A 19,860-nucleotide genomic window follows, 5' to 3' on the forward strand; every position below is an offset into this window, starting at 1 on the left:
AGCCTGGCCAACATGGCTAAACCCTGTGTCTACTAAAAATACAAAAAAAATCACTGGGCATGGTGGTGCATGCCTGTAATACTAGCTAGTAGGAAGGCTGAGGCATGAGAATTGCTTGAACCCAGAAGGCAGAGGTTGCAGTGAGCCAAGACCACACCACTGCATTCCATCCTGGGCAACAGAGTGAGACACTGTCTCAATAAATACATAAATAAGCCGGGCATGGTGGCCCATGCCTGTAATCCCAGCACTTTGGGAGGCCGAGGTGGATCACTTGAGATCAGGAGTTTGAGACCAGCCTGTCCAACATGGTGAAACCCCATCCCTACTAAAAAAAAAAAAATACAAAAATTAGCCAGGTATGGTGGCATACACCTGTAACCCCAACTACTCAGGAGGCTGAGGCAGAAGAATTGCTTGAACCCAGGAGCCGGAGGCTGCAGTGAGCCGAGACTGCACCACTGCACTCCAGCCTGGGCAAAAGAGTGAGACTCTGTCTCAAAAAATAAAAAATAAGTAATAAATAAATAAATTTATTGGCTGGGCGTGATGGCTCACGCCTGTAATCCCAGCACTTTGGGAGACCAAGGCAGGCGGATCACAAGGTCAGGAGTTCGAGACCAGCCTGACCAACATGGTAAAACCCCGTCTCCACTAAAAATACAAAAATTAGCTGGCGTGGTGCCACGGGCCTGTAATCCCAGCTACCCAGGAGGCTGAGGCAGGAGAATCGCTTGAACCCAGGAGGCGGAGGTTGCAGGGAGCCAAGAACGCGCCTCTGCACTCCAGCCTGGGTGAAAGAACAAGACTCCATCTCAATTAAAAAAAAAAAAATTTCTTATAATACCATTATACTCCTATCAGAATGGCTGAAACAAAAGGTGACGGACAATACCAAGTGTTGATGAGGACATGGAACAACTGACCAGCTTGGTGGAAGTATAAATTAGTACAATTGCTTTGGAAAATTATCATTTTCTTCTAAAGCTAAACACAAATATACCCTAGGGCCCAGCAAAGCCACATAATACATACTGAATGATGTGTTCAAGAATGTTCATAGCAGCCGGGCGCGGTGGCTCACGCCTGTAATCCCAGCACTTTGGGAGGCCGAGGCGGGCAGGTCACAAGATCAAGACCATCCTGGCTAACAAGGTGAAACCTCGTCTCTATGAAAAATACAAAAAATTAGCCAGGCGTGGTGGTGGGCGCCTGTAGTCCCAGCTACTCTGGAGGCTGAGGCAGGAGAATGGCGTGAACCTGGGAGGCGGAGCTTGCAGTGAGCCGAGATCGTGCCACTGAACTCCAGCCTGGGCGACAGAGCGAGACTCCATCTCAAAGAAAAAAAAAAAAGTTCATAGCTGCACTATTCATGACATTAATTTCAAATAAAAGCTTAATAACACTAAGAGATACTGCACATGCCAAGATGGCAATAAATGAGACGCTTTCTACGTTAGTTTCCTTGGGCTGCCATAATAAAATATCATAGACTGGATGGCTTAAACAACAGAAACTTATTTTCTCACAGTCCTGGAGGCCAGAAATCCAAGAACAAGGTGTCAGCAGGGTTGGTTTCTCCTGAGGCCTCTCTCCTTGGCTTGCAGACAGCCACCTTCCCCCTGTGTCCTCACACGGTCTTTTCTCTGGTGTCTCTGTCTTTTTTTTTTTTTCTTTCTTTCTTTCTTTTTGAGATGGAGTCTCGCTCTGTCGCCCAGGCTGGAGTGCAGGGGCATGATCTTGGCTCACTGCAACCTCCGCTTCCTGGGTTAAAGCAATTCTCCTGCCTCGGCCTTCCTAGTAGCTGAGATTACAGGTGCACGCCACCACACCTGGCTAATTTTTGTAATTTTAGTAGAGATGGGATATCACCATGTTGGCCAGGCTGGTTTTGAACTCCTGACCTCAGGTGATCCACCTGCCTCAGCCTCCTAAAGTTCTGGGATTACAGGTGTGAGCCACCATGCCCAGCCTCTCTTTCTGTCTTAATCTCCTCCTATAAGGTCACCGGGCTGGATGGAAAAGGGCCCATCCTAACAGCTTCATTTTAAATTGATCACCTCTTTAAAGGCCCCCTGTCTCCAAATGCAGTCACATTCTGAGGTGCTGGGGATTCCAGCTTCAAACGTGAATTTGGGGAGGTGTGGGGGATCCACGTCTGCAACATTTCCCAAATGTTCTAACAGCACAAGGCTTCCTTAATTACTAAATCAGAAAGCTGACCTCATAGCAAGAACAATAGTCCAGACTATATGAATTTCTCATCCAACAGGTGTCTTGAGTTTTGTTTTCGGTTTTGTTTTTTTTTTAAAAAGACAGGATGAGACACCTTAAAAGGACTATGGCCACTCAGTGAGTATCAGCTTCCTTAGTCCAGTGGCTCTGAGGGCCATTCACCCCCCAGAGGACACTTGGCAATGTCTGGAGACATTCTTGATTGTCACAAGGTGGGGAGGGGATGGCACTGGCATCTAGTGGGCAGAGGCCAGGGATGTTGCTAAACATCCTACAATGCCCAGGACAGCCTCCATAACAGGGAATCATCAAACCCAAAATATCGGCCAGGCGCAGCATATTTTTAGTAGAGACAGGGTTTCACCATGTTGGCCAGGTTGGTCTTGAACTCCTGACCTTAAGTGAGCCACCCACCTCGGCCTCCCAAAGTGCTGGGATTACAAGTGTGAGCCACCAAGCCCGGCCCCAAGCCTGACTTTATCTCATCACTGCAAACTGCCCGTGGCACGTGGGAGATCCTGCCAGGCCCACGGTAGGAGCAGGGCACTGTTGACACTACAAACTGATTCTTCCTTGGGGACCGCCGCCAACAGGCTTTTCCTTGGCATTTGCTAAATGCCACAGAGATTTAATTGGGGCGAAGGAAGAGCATCCGGCCCAGTCCACCTTTCCAATTCTCACCAGAAGCCTTTCCCTGCTCGCACAGGGCCTCTTCCAACTGTCTTCCCCCAGAGTTTCTGCAAATTCTGTTTAGACAAAAATAAAAGCAGGGCCAGGCACAGTGGCTGCTGCCTGTAGTCCCAGCACTTTGACAGGCAGAGGTTGGCGGACTGCTTTAGCTCAAGAGTTTGAAACCAGCCTGAGCAACATGGAGAAACCCCATCTCTATAAAAAAATACAAAAATTAGCCAGGTATGGTGGTGCATGTTTGTAATCCCAGCTACTGGGGAGGCTGCAGCGGTAGGATTGTTTGAACCCAGGAGGCTGAGGTTGCAGTGAGATCGCACCCACTGTACTCCAGCCTGAGCAATAGAATGAGAGTACGTCTCAAAAAAAAAAAAAGGTTTTAAATGTATAAGCACAACCAACTATCCTATTTCTTTCCCCTTGTAGCAGTAACATTATGTGTTTAGACTGCGCCATTTCAGCATGGGCCACTAATTCCTAAATGTCAGGCATGACTTGGGGTATTTACAAATCTCAGGAACTTTTATAGACTTCATGGTTTTCTTTAAATTGACTGCCTTTTATTTAAATTCTAAAAGGAAACTTCCTGCCATGACACAAGAAAGCAAGTATCATTTGGTACAAACAGAAGGGCTCATAAAAATAATTGCTAACCTTTCATACATATATTAATCTTTCAAACTCACAAATTAGAGAAAACAGATACTAGTTGTTAAAATCAGAATCATTCTAAATGTCATCAATAAAAATGTTATAATTAGTCTTTTTCTTTCCAAATTAAACCAAAATCACCACCTTCATGAGTGACCCTGAAGACACGTCCCAACCCCTCCACCCCTTCAAAGGCAGTCATAAAATACAGCCAGCCCTTATCACTGACTTTCAACATTTCCATCTGGGTAAAGACACTAAAAGAACATTCTGTTCTGAGAAGTAAGGGACAAAAGTCCAAAGATGGCCGGTTCCATGCCTTGCCTCCTTTTTCCAACTTATTGCATGCAAGACAGAGGTCAAGGTCAAAGGGTGCCCCCATCTCCTTGCGGACTGGACTACAGGGACCTCCTCTCGCCAGCCAGCTGTACAGTAGGTAGAAAGAGCCCTTTTGGGCTGGGCGCAGTGGCTTATGCTTGTAATCCCAGCACTTTGGAAGGCCAAGGCGGGCGGATCATGAGGTCAAGAGTTCGAGACCAGCCTGCAGAACATGGTGAAACCCCGTCTCTACTAAAAATACAAAAATTAGCCAGCCATGGTGGCCTGCACCTGTAATCCCAGCTACTCAGGAGGCTGAGGAAGGAGAATCGCTTGAACTCGGGAGGCGGAGGTTCCAGTGAGCCGAGATCATACCACTGCACTCCAGCCTGGGCAACAGAAGGAGACTCTGTCTCAAAAAAGAAAAGAAAGAGCCCGTCTGCAAGGAAGCCCGGCAGGCACGGCACCCATGTCCACACTCCATCCTTCAGAGTCCCTCTGTGGGTTTGCAACAACACATCTTCTGGTCTCCACGTGGGCAGAGAGCAGCTAGTCTGGTTTTGGTCAGCACAAGGCAGAGCAAGGGAGGACCTCTGTAACTGAAGGGGATGGCGCAAGTGCAGCTGGGCGCTGGCAGAGGACAGAGAGCACAGCCCCATGGGCCGCTGCCAAGCTCCACTGTTCTCATCCCAGGGGGGCAAAGAGCTGTTGGTGCAACTCTCTCCTCCAGCCCAGAGAGGGGAAGGTCGGTGGCTGAGGAGGGGGGTGTCTCTGGGTTTCACCCACCAGCACAATCCCCTCCCTCAAAACATACCCCTATATGCTTGGTATCTAATACTCCCTCCACCACATCAAAGAAAGGATGTTAAAATGTACACACACGGCCGGGTGCGGTGGCTCATGCCTGTGATCCCAGCACTTTGGGAGGCCGAGGTGGGTGGATCACCTGAGGTCAGGAGTTCGAAACCAGCATGGCCAACAGGGCAAAACTCTGTCTCTACTAAAACCACAAAAATTAGCTAGGCGTGGTGGCGGGTGCCTGTAATCCCATGTACTCAGGAGGCTGAGGCAAGAGAATCGCTTGAACCTCAGAGGCAGAGGTTGCAGTGAGCCGAGATCGCACCACTACACTCCATCCTGGGCGACAAGAGCAAGATTCTGTCACAAAAATAATAATAATAATAAATAAAATTAAAAAATAAAATAAGATGTACACACACCCCTACATGCCACATATCTAATACTATCTCCACTTTGTCAAAGGAAGGACATTGAAACACACACCCACCCCACTATATACAATTGATCCTCATAATTTATAATTTCTGTATTTGCAAATTCACCAAATCCCTCAAACTTGTAATCCCAAATCAACAGCTGCAGCCCCTTCACAGTCACTAATGGATGCGTGCAGTGTAGCCAAAATGGTGAGTTGCTCCTCCCTGCCCCGCCCCCAGACACACACATTCCCAGCTGAGGTGACACAAGGCTTCTCATTGCAGCTCTCACACTACAAATAGGAGTCATTTTTGTGGTCTCTTACTGCCACGATTTGTGCATTTTTGTGCTTTTCCCTGATGGTTTTGCAGTTTAAAATGGCCCCTCAGCACAGTGCAGAAGAACTAGTATCTCTAAGCACAGGAAGGCTGGGATGTGCCACGTGGAAAAAATACACGTGTCAGATAAGCTGCCTCCAGGCGTGAGTTACAGAGTTGTTGCCTGTGAGTTCGATGTTAATGAATCCATAACGTACATTAAATATGCGGTTTTTAAAAAACAGAAACACACCTAAAACGAGGTTCTTCATTGATCAGTCAACAAAAATAATGTGACCAGAGCCTCTCAGGAACCTAACCCCATATTTCCCCTAAGAGCAATGGTTCCATATTCGAAAATTCAGTGCTCACAACGACTGAAATAAAGAATGTAAGTACTGGGCAGGGCACGGTGGCTCACATCTGTAATCCCAGCACTTTGGGAGGCCAAGGCAGGCGGATCACCTGAGGTCAGGAGTTCGAGACTAGCCTGGCCAACATGGCGAAACCCCGTCTCTACTAAAACTACAAAAATTAGCCGGGCATACTGGTAGGCATGTGTAATCCCAGCTACTTGGGAGGCTGAGGCAGGAGAATCACTTGAACTGGGAGGTGGAGGTTGCAGTGAGCCAAGATCACGCCACTGCACTCCAGCCTGGGCGACAGAGCAAGACTCCGTCTCAAAAAAAAAAAAAAAAATGCCAGGTGCAGTGGCTCACGCCTGTAATCGCAACACTTTGGGAGGCCGAGGCAGGCGGATCACAAAGTCAAGAGATCAAGACCATCCTGGTCAACATGGTGAAACCCTGTCTCTACTAAAAATACAAAAATTAGCTGGGCGTGGTGGTGGCGCAGGCCTGTAGTAGTCCCAGCTACTTGGGAGGCTGAAGCAGAGAATTGCTTAAACCCAGGAGGCAGAGGTTGCAGTGAGCCGAGACTGCGCCACTGCACTCCAGCCTGAGTGAGAGTGAGACTCCGTCTCAAAATAAAAAACAAGAATGTAAGTCCTGAGAGTAATGAGAGTCCTACCTAACACCACCTCCATCACATCAAAGAGAAAGGGCATTTTTGTTTCCTTATCAGTAAAGCAAGAATAAAAAAAATTACCAACATCAAAGGGCCATTGTGCAGCATGAAAGAGGAAACATGAGTTCAGAGCCAAAACACTGCAGGTCCTAAATAAATATTCATCTTTTTCCTCCACCGTCAGATAATGAGTCACATAAACATGCTGACATAAGCTCTATGCTCTCAGGCAAAATGTAGGACCTCTGAAATGCCTCTGATGCCTCCACCCAGGTGGCGGGCTTCCTGTCTAGATTCCAGTCCCCTTTGTGGGATGGAAAGAGGAGCACGACAATCCGTTCCCAGGGTCTGCAGCACACATCGGTGTGTGACAGCTTCTCCTCATTGTTGTAACAAATTAGCACAACTTTGGCCGGGCGCCGTGGCTCACGGCTGTAATCCCAGCACTTTGGGAGGCCAAGGCGGGCAGATCACGAGGTCAGGAGATCCAGACCATCCTGGCTAACACGGTGAAACCCCGTCTCTAATAAAATACAAAAAATTAGCCGAGCGTGGTGACAGGCGCCTGTAGTCCCAGCTACTCGGGAGGCTGAGACAGGAGAATGGCGCGAACCCGGAAGGCGGAGCTTGCAGTGAGCCAAGGTTGCGCCACTGCACTCCAGCCTGGGCGACAGAGCGAGACTCCGCCTCAAAAAAAAAAAAAAATTAGCACAACTTGAGTGGCTTAAAACAATGCAAGTTTATTACCCTACAGTTAGGTCCGAAGTCCAAAATGGGCCTCATGGGACTAAAATCAAGGAAGGTGTCAGCAGAGCCGTGTTCCTTCTGGAGGCTCCAACCGAGTCCGTTTCCTTAACTCTTCCAACTTCTAGAGTCCCCCGCATTCCTTGGCTCATGGCCCCTTCTTCCCTCTTCAAGCCAGCAGTGCAGCCTCTCCCAATCTTTCTCTTATGCTGACACTCACTCTCCTGCCTGTCTTTCGCTTTTAAGGACCCTGTGATAACACTGGGCCGGGCCAGGGTCAGTGGCTCACACCTGTAATCTCAGCATTTTGGGAGGCCAAGGTGGGCAGATAACTTGAGGTCAGGAGTTCAAGGCCAGCTTGGCCAATACGGTGAAGCCCCGTCTCTACCAAAAATACAAAAATTAGGCCAGGCATGGTGGCTCACGCCTGTAATCCCAGCACTTAGGGAGGCCAAGGTGAGCGGATCATGAGGTCAAGAGATCGAGACCATCTCGGTCAACACGGTGAAACCCCATCTCTACTAAAAATACAATTAGCTGGGCGTGGTGGCATGCGCCTGTAGTCCCAGCTACTCCGGAGGCTGGGGCAGGAGAACTGCTTGAACCGGGAGGCAGAGGTTGCAGTGAGCCAAGATCACACCACTGCACTCCAGCCTAGTGACAGAGCAAGACTCTGTCTCAAAAAAAAAAAAAAAATTAGCTGGGCGTGGCGGCGGGAGCCTGTAATCCCAGCTACGCAGGAGGCCGATGCATGAGAATCGCTTGAACCCGGGAGGTGGAGGTTGCAGTGAGTAGAGATCATGCCACTGCACTCCAGCCTGGGTGACAAGAGCGAGACCCTGTCTAAAAACAAACAAACAAAAAGATTTAAGGTGATATATCCACAAATGGCTTTTTTTTTTTTTTTTTTTTTTGAGACAGGGTCTCACTCTGTTGCCGAGGCTGGAGTGCAGCGGTATGATCAGGGTTTACCGCCACCTACGCTTCCTGGGCTCAAGCACTCCTCCTACCTCAGCCTCCCAAGTAGCAAGGACCACAGGCTCAAGCCACCATGCCTGGCTTTTTTTATTATTATTATTTATTTTTTGTAGAGACAGGGTTTCACTATGTTGCCCAGGCTGCTCTTGAACTCCAGGGCTCAAGCAATCCTCCTGCCTGGGCCTCCCAAAGTGCTGGGATTACAGGTGTGAGCCACCAAGCCCAACTGAAATTCTATTACACAATAAAAAGAAACTTCAAAAACTTCATGCTAAATTAAAGCAGCCAGACACAAAAGGCAACACGTGGTGTGATTCCATTGATAGACAATTTCCAGAAAGGGCAAACCTATGGAATCAGAAAGCGGATCACTGGTTGCCTGGGACTGGGGCAAGGGCAGGGATGAATTGCAGATGGGCTGGAGGAGACTTTCGGAGGTGATGGAAACATTCAAAACCCATGCCGGAGTGATGGTTGCATAACTCCATACACCTGGTTTTTTTTTAATCAATGGTTTACATACTTTTTTTTTTTTTTTTGAGATGGAGTCTCGCTGTGTCGCCCAGGCTACAGTGCAGTGGCGCGATCTCGGCTCACTGCCAGCTCTGCCTCCTGGGTTCACGCCATTCTCCTGCCTCAGCCTCCTGAGTAGCTGGGACTACAAGTGCCCGCCACCACACCCAGCTAATTTTTTGTATTTTTAGTAGAGATGGGGTTTCACTTGTGTTAGCCAGGATGGTCTGGATCTCCTGACCTCCTGATCCGCCCACCTTGGCCTCCCAAAGTGCTGGGATTACAGGAATGAGCCACCGCACCTGGCCAGTTTACATACTTTCAATAGATGTATGCTATATAAATTATACTTCAATAAAGCTGTTTAAAACATTGTGGTAGACAACATATCTATTCAGTTCTTCTTTCTCAATCTGATTCATATTCAAAACTTCCTAGTCCCCCAAATCCAAATATATCAAGCATCAAAGCATCCTCATCCAGTGTGGCCACCCACAAAACGTAGATTGTTACAATGAGGCAAAGTCTTGGGCCACCTGGTACCTAAGCTCCCATCCTTGCCACAACATCACACCAGGGCCTCGACATACCTGGACAGAATGCTCTACATAGTTATTCATTTTCCTAAATTTGATCAGGAAAAAGCAGTGAAATTCATATTTCTAAATTTCTCATAAAAGGCCCCTCCTCTCAAAGAAGCACACTGTAGACCCCAACGGTAAACCTCATGCAAACACCTAAGGATTACCATTAGCCCTAGTAAACACCTAAGGCATACTGAGCACTTATTCTCCTAAACTTTACATGGACTAAAAAACTATGAGATACATAATTATTGATATTCCCATTTTACAGATGAAACAACTGAGACTCAGAGAGGTAAAGTTATTTTCCCAAGATCACACAGCTAGTAAGCAGCAGAGCCTGGGTGTGAACCCAGCTCCTCAATGGACTCCTGCGTCCTGGCTCCTAACAAATAATCCCTGCCATTTCACCACAAGAGGAGCTCCATTCAGCCATAAGCAAAGGGCATGATGTCATAAAATGGTTTCCAGCAATGGAGGTGAAATGCCTTGTTTCCTAACTACACCATTTCAAAAGTTTTCTCAACATCAGGATGTGGTAACTTTCTCAAGAGAGAAAAGAACTTTGAAGCCAGGAGATTCCTCCAAAAATAAGCTGCACGTCTTCGCAACATTCGCTGAGTGACCCCAGAAATAACTGCATTCTGTCCCCTATGACATGTGGCATCGTTTTTGGTTTTTTTAACCACAAATCTTCCAACCATTCCACAGCTTTATTGCCTAGAACCATTAGGTGAAATGGGTGGATCCGGTTCAAAACTGCCTCCTCTCACAACCTCCAAGACCACGAACACATTAATATCAGTGAATCTTTGTTTCCCTGTCAATAAAATGGGAGAATTTTTTTTTTTGAGATGGAGTCTTGCTTCTTCACCCAGGCTGGAGTGCAGTGGTACAATCCTGACTCACCGCAACCTCCACATCCTGGGTTCAAGCAATTCTCCTGCCTCAGCCTCCCCAGTAGCTGGAATTACAGGCACCACCACCACACCCGGCTAATTTTTGTATTTTTAGTAGAGACAGGGTTTCACCATGTTGGCCAGGCTGGTCTCGAACTCCTGACCTCGAGTGATCCGCCCACCTTGGCCTCCCAAAGTGCTGGGATTACAGGCTTGAACCACCACATCTGGCCCCTAAAATGGGAGAATTAACTCCAAAAACTCACATGGTTGTTGTAAGGATTAAAACAGCCCTATTTATCTCAAGTGTCCAGCAGACAGCCTGACCCATTACATATTACTTTTTTCTTCCTTTAACCACCCACCCACTTTAGCCCTCACGCTGCCATCCCCCAGCCCCTAGTTCTATTTCAGGAAGCTCCTCCATCTCTCTGTGCTTCTCAAGAGTTTCTAAACTTCAGGATTCCACCTTGATGTTGCTACTCCTGAAAATGCAGATTATATACAAGAGCATTTACGCAAATGCACAGCAACCCTGATACACAATTTGAATCCAAATCCATGTCACTGTTTAAGAAATAGATTGGCCAGACACAGTGGCTCACATCTGTAATCACAGCACTTTGGGAGGCCAAGGTGGGTGGATCACCTGAGGTAAGGAGTTCGAGACCAGCCTGACCAACATGGAGAAACCCCATCTGTACTAAAAATACAAAATTTGCCGGGCATGGTGCATGCCTGTAATCCCAGCTACTCAGGAGGCTGATTCAAGGAGAATCGCTTGAACCTGGAATGCGGACGTTGCAGTGAGCCGAGATCGTGCCAGCCTTGGCAACAAGAGTGAAGCTACATCTCAAAAAAAAAAAACAGAATTAGATTAGTTCCAGGCCAAGCACGGTGGCTCACGTCTGTAATCCCAGCACTTTCGGAGGCCAAGGCAGGTGGATCACCTGAGGTCAGGAGTTCAAGACCAGCCTGGCCAACATGGTGAAACAACTCTCTCTACTAAAAATACAAAGATTAGCCGGGAGTGGTAGTGGGCACCTGTAATCCCAGCTACTTGGGAAGCTGAGGCAGAAGAATCGCTTGAACCCAGGAGGCAGAGGTTGCAGTGGGCCAAGACCAAGGCATTGCACTCCAGGCAACAAGAGTGAAACTACATCGTCTCAAAAAAAAAGAAAGATTAGTTCCAAAGCTGGTAAATTCTAAAGGGGCTGTGATGCTCCATTCCAACGCAACCTAGAAAACTTACTTTTAAATAAAATTATCTGCACCACTCCCTCTGGCTCTCCATATGAACGGCTCATGTTTCTATCACGCTAATGATCACTTTTGAACAATATTTGCATTTTTCTTTCATGTACTGACTCAAAAGTTCTCAACTCTGACTGCATGTTAAAATCATCAGGGGAGCTTATTAAAATATATAGATAGAAACCCAGGTCCCACCCTAAATTCTTATTTCAAAGGTCTAGAATGAATCAGAAAAGGCTAGTTAAGTTTCCCTGGTGATTGCAATGAACAGCCAGGGTCAGGACACCCACACCTGTTGGGCAGGTCTTCTTTAATTCATCCTTGCATCCCCATCAGCTGGAGTGGCTCCTGCACATAGTAGGCGTCTCATAATTGCTCATGGCACAAATTAATAACCACTGGATTTTAGACTCCACTGATCATATTAATTCATCACAGTATTTACGGAGGATGTACGATGTACCAGGCACTGTTCCAGGCATAGTGTTCAAGTCAATTGTCATCATTAAAACGAAGGAGGCCGGGCGCGGTGACTCACGCCTGTAATCCCAGCACTTTGGAAGGCCGAGGTGGGTGGATCACGAGGTCAGGAGTTCAAGACAAGCCTGGCCAAGATGGTGAAACCCCCGTCTCTACTAAAAATACAAAAACTAGTCAGGCGTGGTGTCGGGCGCCTGTAATCCCAGCTACTCGGGAGGTTGAGGCAGAGAATTGCTTGAACCCGGGAGGCGGAGGTTGCAGTGAGCCGAGATCTCGCCACAGCACTCCAGCGTGGGCAACAGAGGGAGACTCCGTCTCAATAATAATAATAATACTAATAATAATAAACGCAAAACAGAGAAGGGAGGAGTGAGGGAACTATCTTTGGGTCAGACAATCCGGAGTTCAATCTCCATTTTGCAGTCTTCCCTATAGCCCTTAACCTCCGTAACCTCCAGTTTCCTCCTCTGGGTAATATCAGTGAGGCCTCTTCTTCGGAGGATTCAGGAAGCCAGGGACAAAGACCCCACAAAATGGCCGCCAGCACCATTCTTTTTTTTTTTTTTTTTAATTCCACTGACACCTGGTGAAGCCACCCTTATGGTTCACTCCACCCGCCGCGTCTCCTGTTCCGAGCAACTGACGCTGCAATAAGCGGCCGCCACCGGGAAATGCCCAGAGAGGACCAGACGCCCGAGGAAGGGCGGAGCAGAGCGGCCGCAGGCCCCGCCCAACACCGCGCTCAGCCTCCCGCGGGCTCCAGCCTCACCTGCGCGGCCTGTGGAGCTGCACATCTCCAGGCCCCGCCCCCCAGAACTCTGATTGGCGGGTCTAGGCGGGGGCCGGGAAATCTGCATTTGCACCAGCGCCCACCCCCGTCCTTCCCACCCCCGCCCCTCACGCCCAGGTAAGTCTATGGCAGGCGATACGAGAGCCCCGCAAACCTCAACGCGTCACGCTGCCATCCTCCGAACAGGAAGACGGCGAGGCGCAAAATACCAACCCGTCCCCTCTTCCCAAATGCAGAAAAACCCTTGCCTGTTCCGCGCCTAAGCTGCCCTCGGGGTCTCCTACTGCGGGAAGGGCACAGCAGGTGGCAGCCCCTGTCCCAGCCGTGGGATTCCTTCCCCGAAATTGTGGGGGGAGAACACAAGGGGTAGTGTCACCAAGCGGCCAGTAGGAGACCCTCCCACCCTCCTGCGACTGCTGGTTCGGGTCCACCCCGGGCGGAGGGGGAAGGGGCCACCGGAGCGCAGGTGGTCTCGGCGCAGCCTCCTGGGGCTGGGACCCAGGGGCGCTGATGGGGTACCCCGAGGCGTAGGCCGCGCCCCCCTAAAAGCTGAGCATATCTGGGCTCCCGAGTAATGCTCCAAGCGCAGAGCTCGGTGTGACACTGACCAAATTGTTACCTCAGATATTAATTACGGACAGATATTAATTACGGAACAATAAAACGGTGAGAAAGCACGGCTGATCCGAATTCCGCGAGTGTGTAAACAGCACTGGGGCGGGCCCGGCTTCTCGGGGTTTCTAAAGGAAGGTGGGCAAGGAGGCCCAGGCAACCGGGCGCTCGAACCCCAAAGGGCCGGCATCAGGCTAGGTGCCGCCCGGGGCTGAAGCGCAGGGACCCCCTCCCCACCTCCCCGCCTCCCCAGCCCTGCCCCAGGCTCATGGCGCCGGGCGCGGCGCGCGGCCAACCTGTCAGGCCCGGCCAGGCTGGCCCGAGCGCCGGGCTCCGGGAGGCGCGGACAAAGGAAAACACGGGCCCAGGCCCACTCACCCGGCGCGGGGCCTGCTGTCCATCCGCTTCTTCTGGCGCACCGGCTGCAGCGGGATGTTGTCCGTCATGTCGGCGGCGCCGCCCGCCTTGGCCGCCGCGCCCCCCGCGCCGCCTGGGCCGCCGCCCGGTCCGGCCTCCGCGCCGCCGCCCGCCGGCGCCGCGCCGCCCCGGGGGAGGAGGCGGCGGCAGCGGGCGGGCCGGGCCCGCAGCGAGGGGGCGAGCTCGCGAGCGCCGGGCCACGCGCGGAGCGCCCGCGCGGCCCGACCGACGGACACGGGCGCACCATGGGCCCGAGCTCCGCGCTGCGCCCGCTCGCTCCGCGCCGCGCCGCGCCTGCCACGGGGGGCGGCCGGGCCGTGTCCGCGCCGCCGCGACCGCTGCAGTGTCCCCGCCCCCGGCCCGCGCCCGCGCCCCCCACGCGCGCCCACCCGGCCACGCGCCCCCCGCCCACGCCCGCCGTGCGCGCACCCTGCCACCGCACCCCCCGCAAAATCCCACATTCACAATCACATCCCAGCCCTATACACGCGCGCTGTGACACTCATCCCCACCAATATCTGACATGCACAATCACACGGGCACCCGGCCACGCTCACCCCATCAGTCAGTCATTCTCACTCACTCTTGCACCAACGTGCATATTCACGCCCAGGCCCTACACACACACCTGCCACTGCTCACTGCCTGCAACATCTAACATTCACAATCACATGTGAGTCCTGCACACACACATAACACTCTCACCCTCCTGTTGGTCACCATCATCCATGCACCCAGTTTCTCAAGCCTCACACCCATGTGCCTGCAGAAATCACAGTCACACAGGGACCCTCAGCTTATCAGACTCCTTCACCCTCTGACCTTCACCATCCTCACCCTCATTCTCTATCTGGATTCTGGGAACTCACCATGACACACACGCACCTGCCTCTTTCATCCAAACACCCTTCAATAGTCTGAACACCCTCATTCTCACACCAGCCACTTTCTTGGGCTTGCACATGGGCCCCACTCTCAGGCCTCAGACAGTCACCCTGCATTACCTGTCACTGTGATTCACGGTCTCACACACACACCTATCTCCACCGCAGCCCACATCCACACTCACTTCCACACCCTCCCACACAGTGTCTGGGACCCATGAACTTTTCAAAGGCCTGATAAAGTTATGAGAGCAGGAAAAAAAAAACAGAGGGAAGGAACAAAGTGAGGGAGTTTAAAAATCAATATGTAACTAAAGAGCCTGAAATTGTAATAATACCATATAAACTAATCTAAAGCTGACTTTTACATAGTTACATCTAATGACTGATCATGTTGGACGCCGTTTCTTTTTTTTCTTTTTGAAACAGAATCTCCCTCTGTCGCCCAGGCTGGAGTGCAGTGGCAAAATCTCAGCTCACTGCAATCTCTGCCTCCCAGGTTGAAGCAATTCTCCTGCCTCAGCTACCCGGGTAGCTGGGGTTATACATGTGCCTGGCTAATTTTTGTAGTTTTAGTAGAGATGGGGTTTCACCATGTTGGCCAGACTGGTCTTGAACTCCTGGCCTCATGTGATCTGTCCACCTCGGCCTCCCAAAGTGCTGGGCTCTTCCTTGGCATTTGCTAAATGCCATAGAGATTTAATTGGGATGAAGGAAGAGCATCCGGCCCAGTCCACCTTTCCAACTCTCACCAGAAGCCTTTCCCTGCTCCCACGGGCCACTGCGCTTGGCCCTTTTATTTTGTTTTATTTGTTTGTTTTTTTAAGTTAGTGCTAACTGCCAGCAAGTGGATGCCTTTTGTGTTTGCTGTCACACAGGATGGAGCCACCAAATATCCCAGTGTCTGAGGTGGATCTCAAACCAAGAAGTGTGACTTATCTCATGCACCAGAGAAGTTCCTCAAGAAAAGAAGCATGTCATTAGTAATTGCTGCATTGCACATTTGGAGAGGAAATAGCATTCTCCAGCCAACAGGCCTGGTGTGCTTTGCTTCCTGCTGTCTCTTCTACATCTAAAATGATGCTTCGTACATAGCATGGCACAAGTTGGCACTCAATAAAGGCTTCTTGCATGGAAGAAGGATAAACACCCTGACACACCAATTATGGCATCAGTGTGGGTCCCACCATCTCCCATCTGCTTTGCTAGACATCCCCCTTTCAAACTCCACACCCTCTTCTCAACCCCACTACTACACAGGGTACAAGAGAAGACCAAGGAGGCCGGGCGCGGTGGCTCACACCTCTAATCCTGACACTTTGGGAGGCCGAGGTGGGCGGATCACTTGAGGTCAGGCATTCGAGATCAGCCTGGCCAACATGGTGAAACCCCATCTCTACTAAAAAACAAAAATACAAAAATATATTAAAATCACCCGGGCACGGCCGGGCGCAGTGGCTCACGCCTGTAATCCCAGCACTTTGGGAGGCCAATGCGGGCAGATCACGGGTCAGGAGTTCGAGACCAGCCTGGCCAACATAGTGAAATCCTGTCTCTACTAAAAATACAAAAACTTAGCCACGCATGGTGGCAGGCACTGGTAATCTCAGCTACTCAGGAGGTTAAGGCAGGAGAATTGCTTGAACCCGGGAGGCGGAGGTTGCAGTGAGCCGAGATCATGCCATTGCACTCTAGCCCAGGCAACAGTGCGAGACTCTGTTTCAAAAAAAAAAAAAAAAGAAAGAAAAGGTTAGCTATTAAAAGTCCTACTTCTATGATATGAATATTCATAGTTTTCCCTAATTCAAGAATGAACACAACAGCATTATCAATGCTCATCCCTGAAAGATTCCAGGTGGGTTTTTAAAATACAATTTAATTAGCAGGATTTTTTGTTTTAGTAGTTTTCCATTTATAGAAAACATAAGCAATTAGCACAGAGAGTTTCATATGTCCCCATCCTATATCCATGTCCCCAGTCATGGGGACAGTTTCCCTTATTAACATTTTGCGGTACATCCAGGTGGATCTTAAATATTTCATTGCTTTTGTTTTGTCAATACTCTCTACTTTTTCTCTAGCAAAACGTGTTGCTTTTGCAATAATTTTTTCTTTAAATAAGTTTTTAAAAGATGAAAGAGCCCACTATTAACCCTCAAAGGTACTAACACTCTCATATGGAAAGAGAGGGGGAAATTGTAGGTGGTTTTTTGTTTTGTTTTGTTTTGTTTTTGCCTTTTTACTTTCCAAATTTTCTTTCTTTATTTATTTATTTTTATTTTTGAGATGGAGTCTCACTCTGTCGCCCAGGCTGGAGTGCAGTGGCACAATCTCAGCTCACTGCAGGCTCCGCCTCCCGGGTTCACGCCATTTTCCTGCCTCAGCCTCCCCAGTAGCTGGGACTACAGGCGCCCATCACCATGCCCAGCTAATTTTTGTATTTTTAGCAAAGACAGGGTTTCACCATGTTAGCCAGGATGGTCTCGATCTCCTGACCTCCTGATCCACCTGCCTCGGCCTCCCAAAGTGCTGGGATTACAGGCGTGAGCCACTGCAACCGGCCTTTACTTTCCAAATTTTCTTTAGTACGCTTTCATAATCAGAGGAGAAAATACATTTAAAAAAACTCCTTTTTGTTTTTATTCTTATTATTTTTTGAGACAGAGTCTCACTCTGCTGCCCAGGCTGGATTGCAGTGGCATGATCTCAGCTCACTGCAACCTCCGCCTCCCAGGTTCAAGCGATTCTCCCGCCTCAGCCTCCTGAGTAGCTGGGGCTACAGGCACACACCAACATGACCGGCTAATTTTTATATTTTTAGTAGAGAAGAGGTTTCACCATGTTAGCCAGGCTGGTCTCAAACTCCTGACCTCAGGTGATCCACCTGCCTCGCCTCCCTAAGTACTGGGATTACAGGCATGAGCCACTGCGCATGGCCGTTTTTATTTTAAGAGACAGAGTCTTGCTCTATTGTAGCTGGGACTACAGGTGTGCACTGCATGCCAGGCTAATTTATTTTATTTTTTATAGAGACAAGGTCTCACTATGTTGCCCAGGCTGGCCTTGACCTCCTGGGCTCAAGCCATCCTCCTGCCTTGACCTCCTAGTGTCCTGGGATTACAGGTGTGAGCCACTGCACCAGGCCGAAACTCCTTTTCAGCAAGGTAATCCCTCAGGAAGGGACGCACCTGCAGGCTTAAATCTCATCTTGAGAGAGAATCAGATGCCTGCTTGGGACAAGCGAGACACCCAAGGGATCACCAGAGCGGTGCCAGGGTCTAGGAGAGGGGCAAGGCTGGGGGAAGTGATGAGATGTGAGAGGTTAATCTGAGGCCCCCTTCTGGGTATACAGCAACCCCTCTTCCTGACACAGCACTACCTTCTGCCCAGGAATAGTCACCTCATGGTTCTGCTTCCTCAGGAAAAGCCCCTTGACAATCCTCTCCATCCAATAGGTCCTGGGTACAGTGCACCCCTGACTCCTAGGTATGTGGAGTGGAAAGGTCCTGGAGGGATAAGCCAATCTAGTCCAACTTCTACTTTCCAGAAATCAGAGAGACTGTGGCCCAAAGAGGTCATGTCACATGCCTCTATGTCACATGCCATCCATGCCCGATGGATGACAGGCTGGAGCCGGAATATACCTTGAAACTCTCATCTTGGCCCACCATGAAGCCTTATGTTCATAGACCTCCAAGCCCACTCCTGCTTTATTATTTATTTGTTTGTTTGTTTGTTTGTTTGGAGATGGAGTCTCACTCTGTTGCCCAGGCTGAAGTGCAGTGGCATGATCTCAGCTCACTACAACCTCCAACTCCCAGGTTCAAGCAATTCTCCCACCTCAGCCTCCCAAGTAGCTGGGATTACAGGCGCGCGCCACTATACCCGGCTAATTTTTGTATTTTTAGTTGAGACGGGTTTTCGCCATGTTGGCCAGGCTGATCTCGAGCTCCTGGCTTCAGGTAATCCACCCGCCTCAGCCTCCCAGAGTGCTGGGATTATGGGTGTGAGCCACTGCGCCCTGCCCCACTGCTACTTTGGACCTGCTGTAAAGAAGGAGTGTTTGGTGGTAAGTGGGCAAGAAGTCAAGGGTACGGGCAGTGATGAGAGATGGAGGAGGCAGGGAAAATGGGAATAAATAATAAATATGCTTTGGGTAAACTCAGGCTGGGAGTGAGAAAATAAAATCCTTTTAGTGCCTACAATTCTCTCTCCATGAATTCTCTCTGAATAAACATTCTAGGTATCCCCCAAAGCAGTTTCCCTACCTTGGCACTATTGACATTTGGGCTGAATATTTATCATGGGGGGCTGTGCTATGCATTACAGGAAATTTAGCAGCATTCTTGGTCTCTACCCACTAAATGCCAGTAGCTGCCTCACACCAGCTGTGACAACCACAAATGTTTTCACACATCATGAAATGTCTCCTGGGGAGACAAAATTGTCCCTAGTTAAGAGCCACTGGGCTAGAATGTGATGTTAAATCATTTTAAAATCTCTAATAAGACTGTGTGTGTCATTTTTTTTTTTTTTTTTTTTTGAGACAGAGTCTCCTTCTGTCACCTGGGCTGGAGTGCAGTGGCACCATCTCCCGGGTTCAAGCGATTCTCCTGTCTCAGCCCCCCGAGTAGCTGGGATAACAGGTGTGTGCCTCCAAGCCCGGCAAATTTTTGTATTTTTAGTAGAGAGGGGGTTTCACCATGTTGGCCAGGCTGCTCTTGAACTTCTGGCCTCAAGTGATCCTCCCGCCTTGGCCTCCCAAAGTGCTGAGATTACAAGCCTGGCGTGAGCCACTGTGCCCAACCAACTGTGTCTCTCTCTAACACTTACCAATCCAGTCCTTTCCCAACCCTTTGTTTTTTGTTTTTTTTGGAAAGAAAAAGAACGTCTTAGGTTGAGAACTTTCCATGAACAACAATATCTAGCTAAAATTTAATAATATTCTGGGCTGTGTGTGTATTTTTTAGATAGAGTTGGCCAGGCACAGTGGCTCACGCCTATAATCCCAGCACTTTGGGAGGCCGAGGCAGGTGGATCACGAGGTCAGGAGATCGAGACCATCCTGGCTAACACAGTGAAACCCCGTCTCTACTAAAAATACAAAAAATCAGCTGGGCGTGGTGGTGGGTGCCTGTAGTCCCAGCTACTCGGGAGGCTGCGACGGGAGAATGGCATGAACCTGGGAGGCGGAGCTTGCAGTGAGCCGAGATCACGCCACTGCACTACAGCCTGGGCAACAGAGCGAGACTC

At 49.6% G+C, this 19,860-nt stretch overlaps 1 protein-coding gene across 1 annotated transcript in view, besides 1 other annotated feature; it reads right to left on the reverse strand.

Annotated features, from left to right (window-relative positions):
* Positions 1-13,773, reverse strand: part of ATP9A (ATPase phospholipid transporting 9A (putative)) — a 171,877-nt gene extending 158,104 nt beyond the window's left edge. Inside the window, exon 1 of the mRNA NM_006045.3 lies at positions 13,685-13,773. Coding sequence (NP_006036.1) covers positions 13,685-13,752 — 68 coding nt within the window. The 5' untranslated portion in view covers positions 13,753-13,773. The remainder of the gene's footprint in view (positions 1-13,684) is intronic.
* Positions 7,625-8,309: an enhancer, noted in NCBI's record as "H3K27ac-H3K4me1 hESC enhancer chr20:50378781-50379465 (GRCh37/hg19 assembly coordinates)". NCBI's record gives its function as "activates a minimal SCP1, AML or CMV promoter by ChIP-STARR-seq in primed H9 embryonic stem cells {active_cell/tissue: H9 hESC(primed)}" and the evidence as "EXISTENCE:reporter gene assay evidence [ECO:0000049][PMID:30033119]".
* Positions 13,774-19,860: the final 6,087 nt, after the last annotated feature.

The sequence above is a fragment of the Homo sapiens genome, chromosome 20 (genome assembly GCF_000001405.40).
Source record: "Homo sapiens chromosome 20, GRCh38.p14 Primary Assembly".
Lineage (NCBI taxonomy): Eukaryota > Metazoa > Chordata > Mammalia > Primates > Hominidae > Homo > Homo sapiens.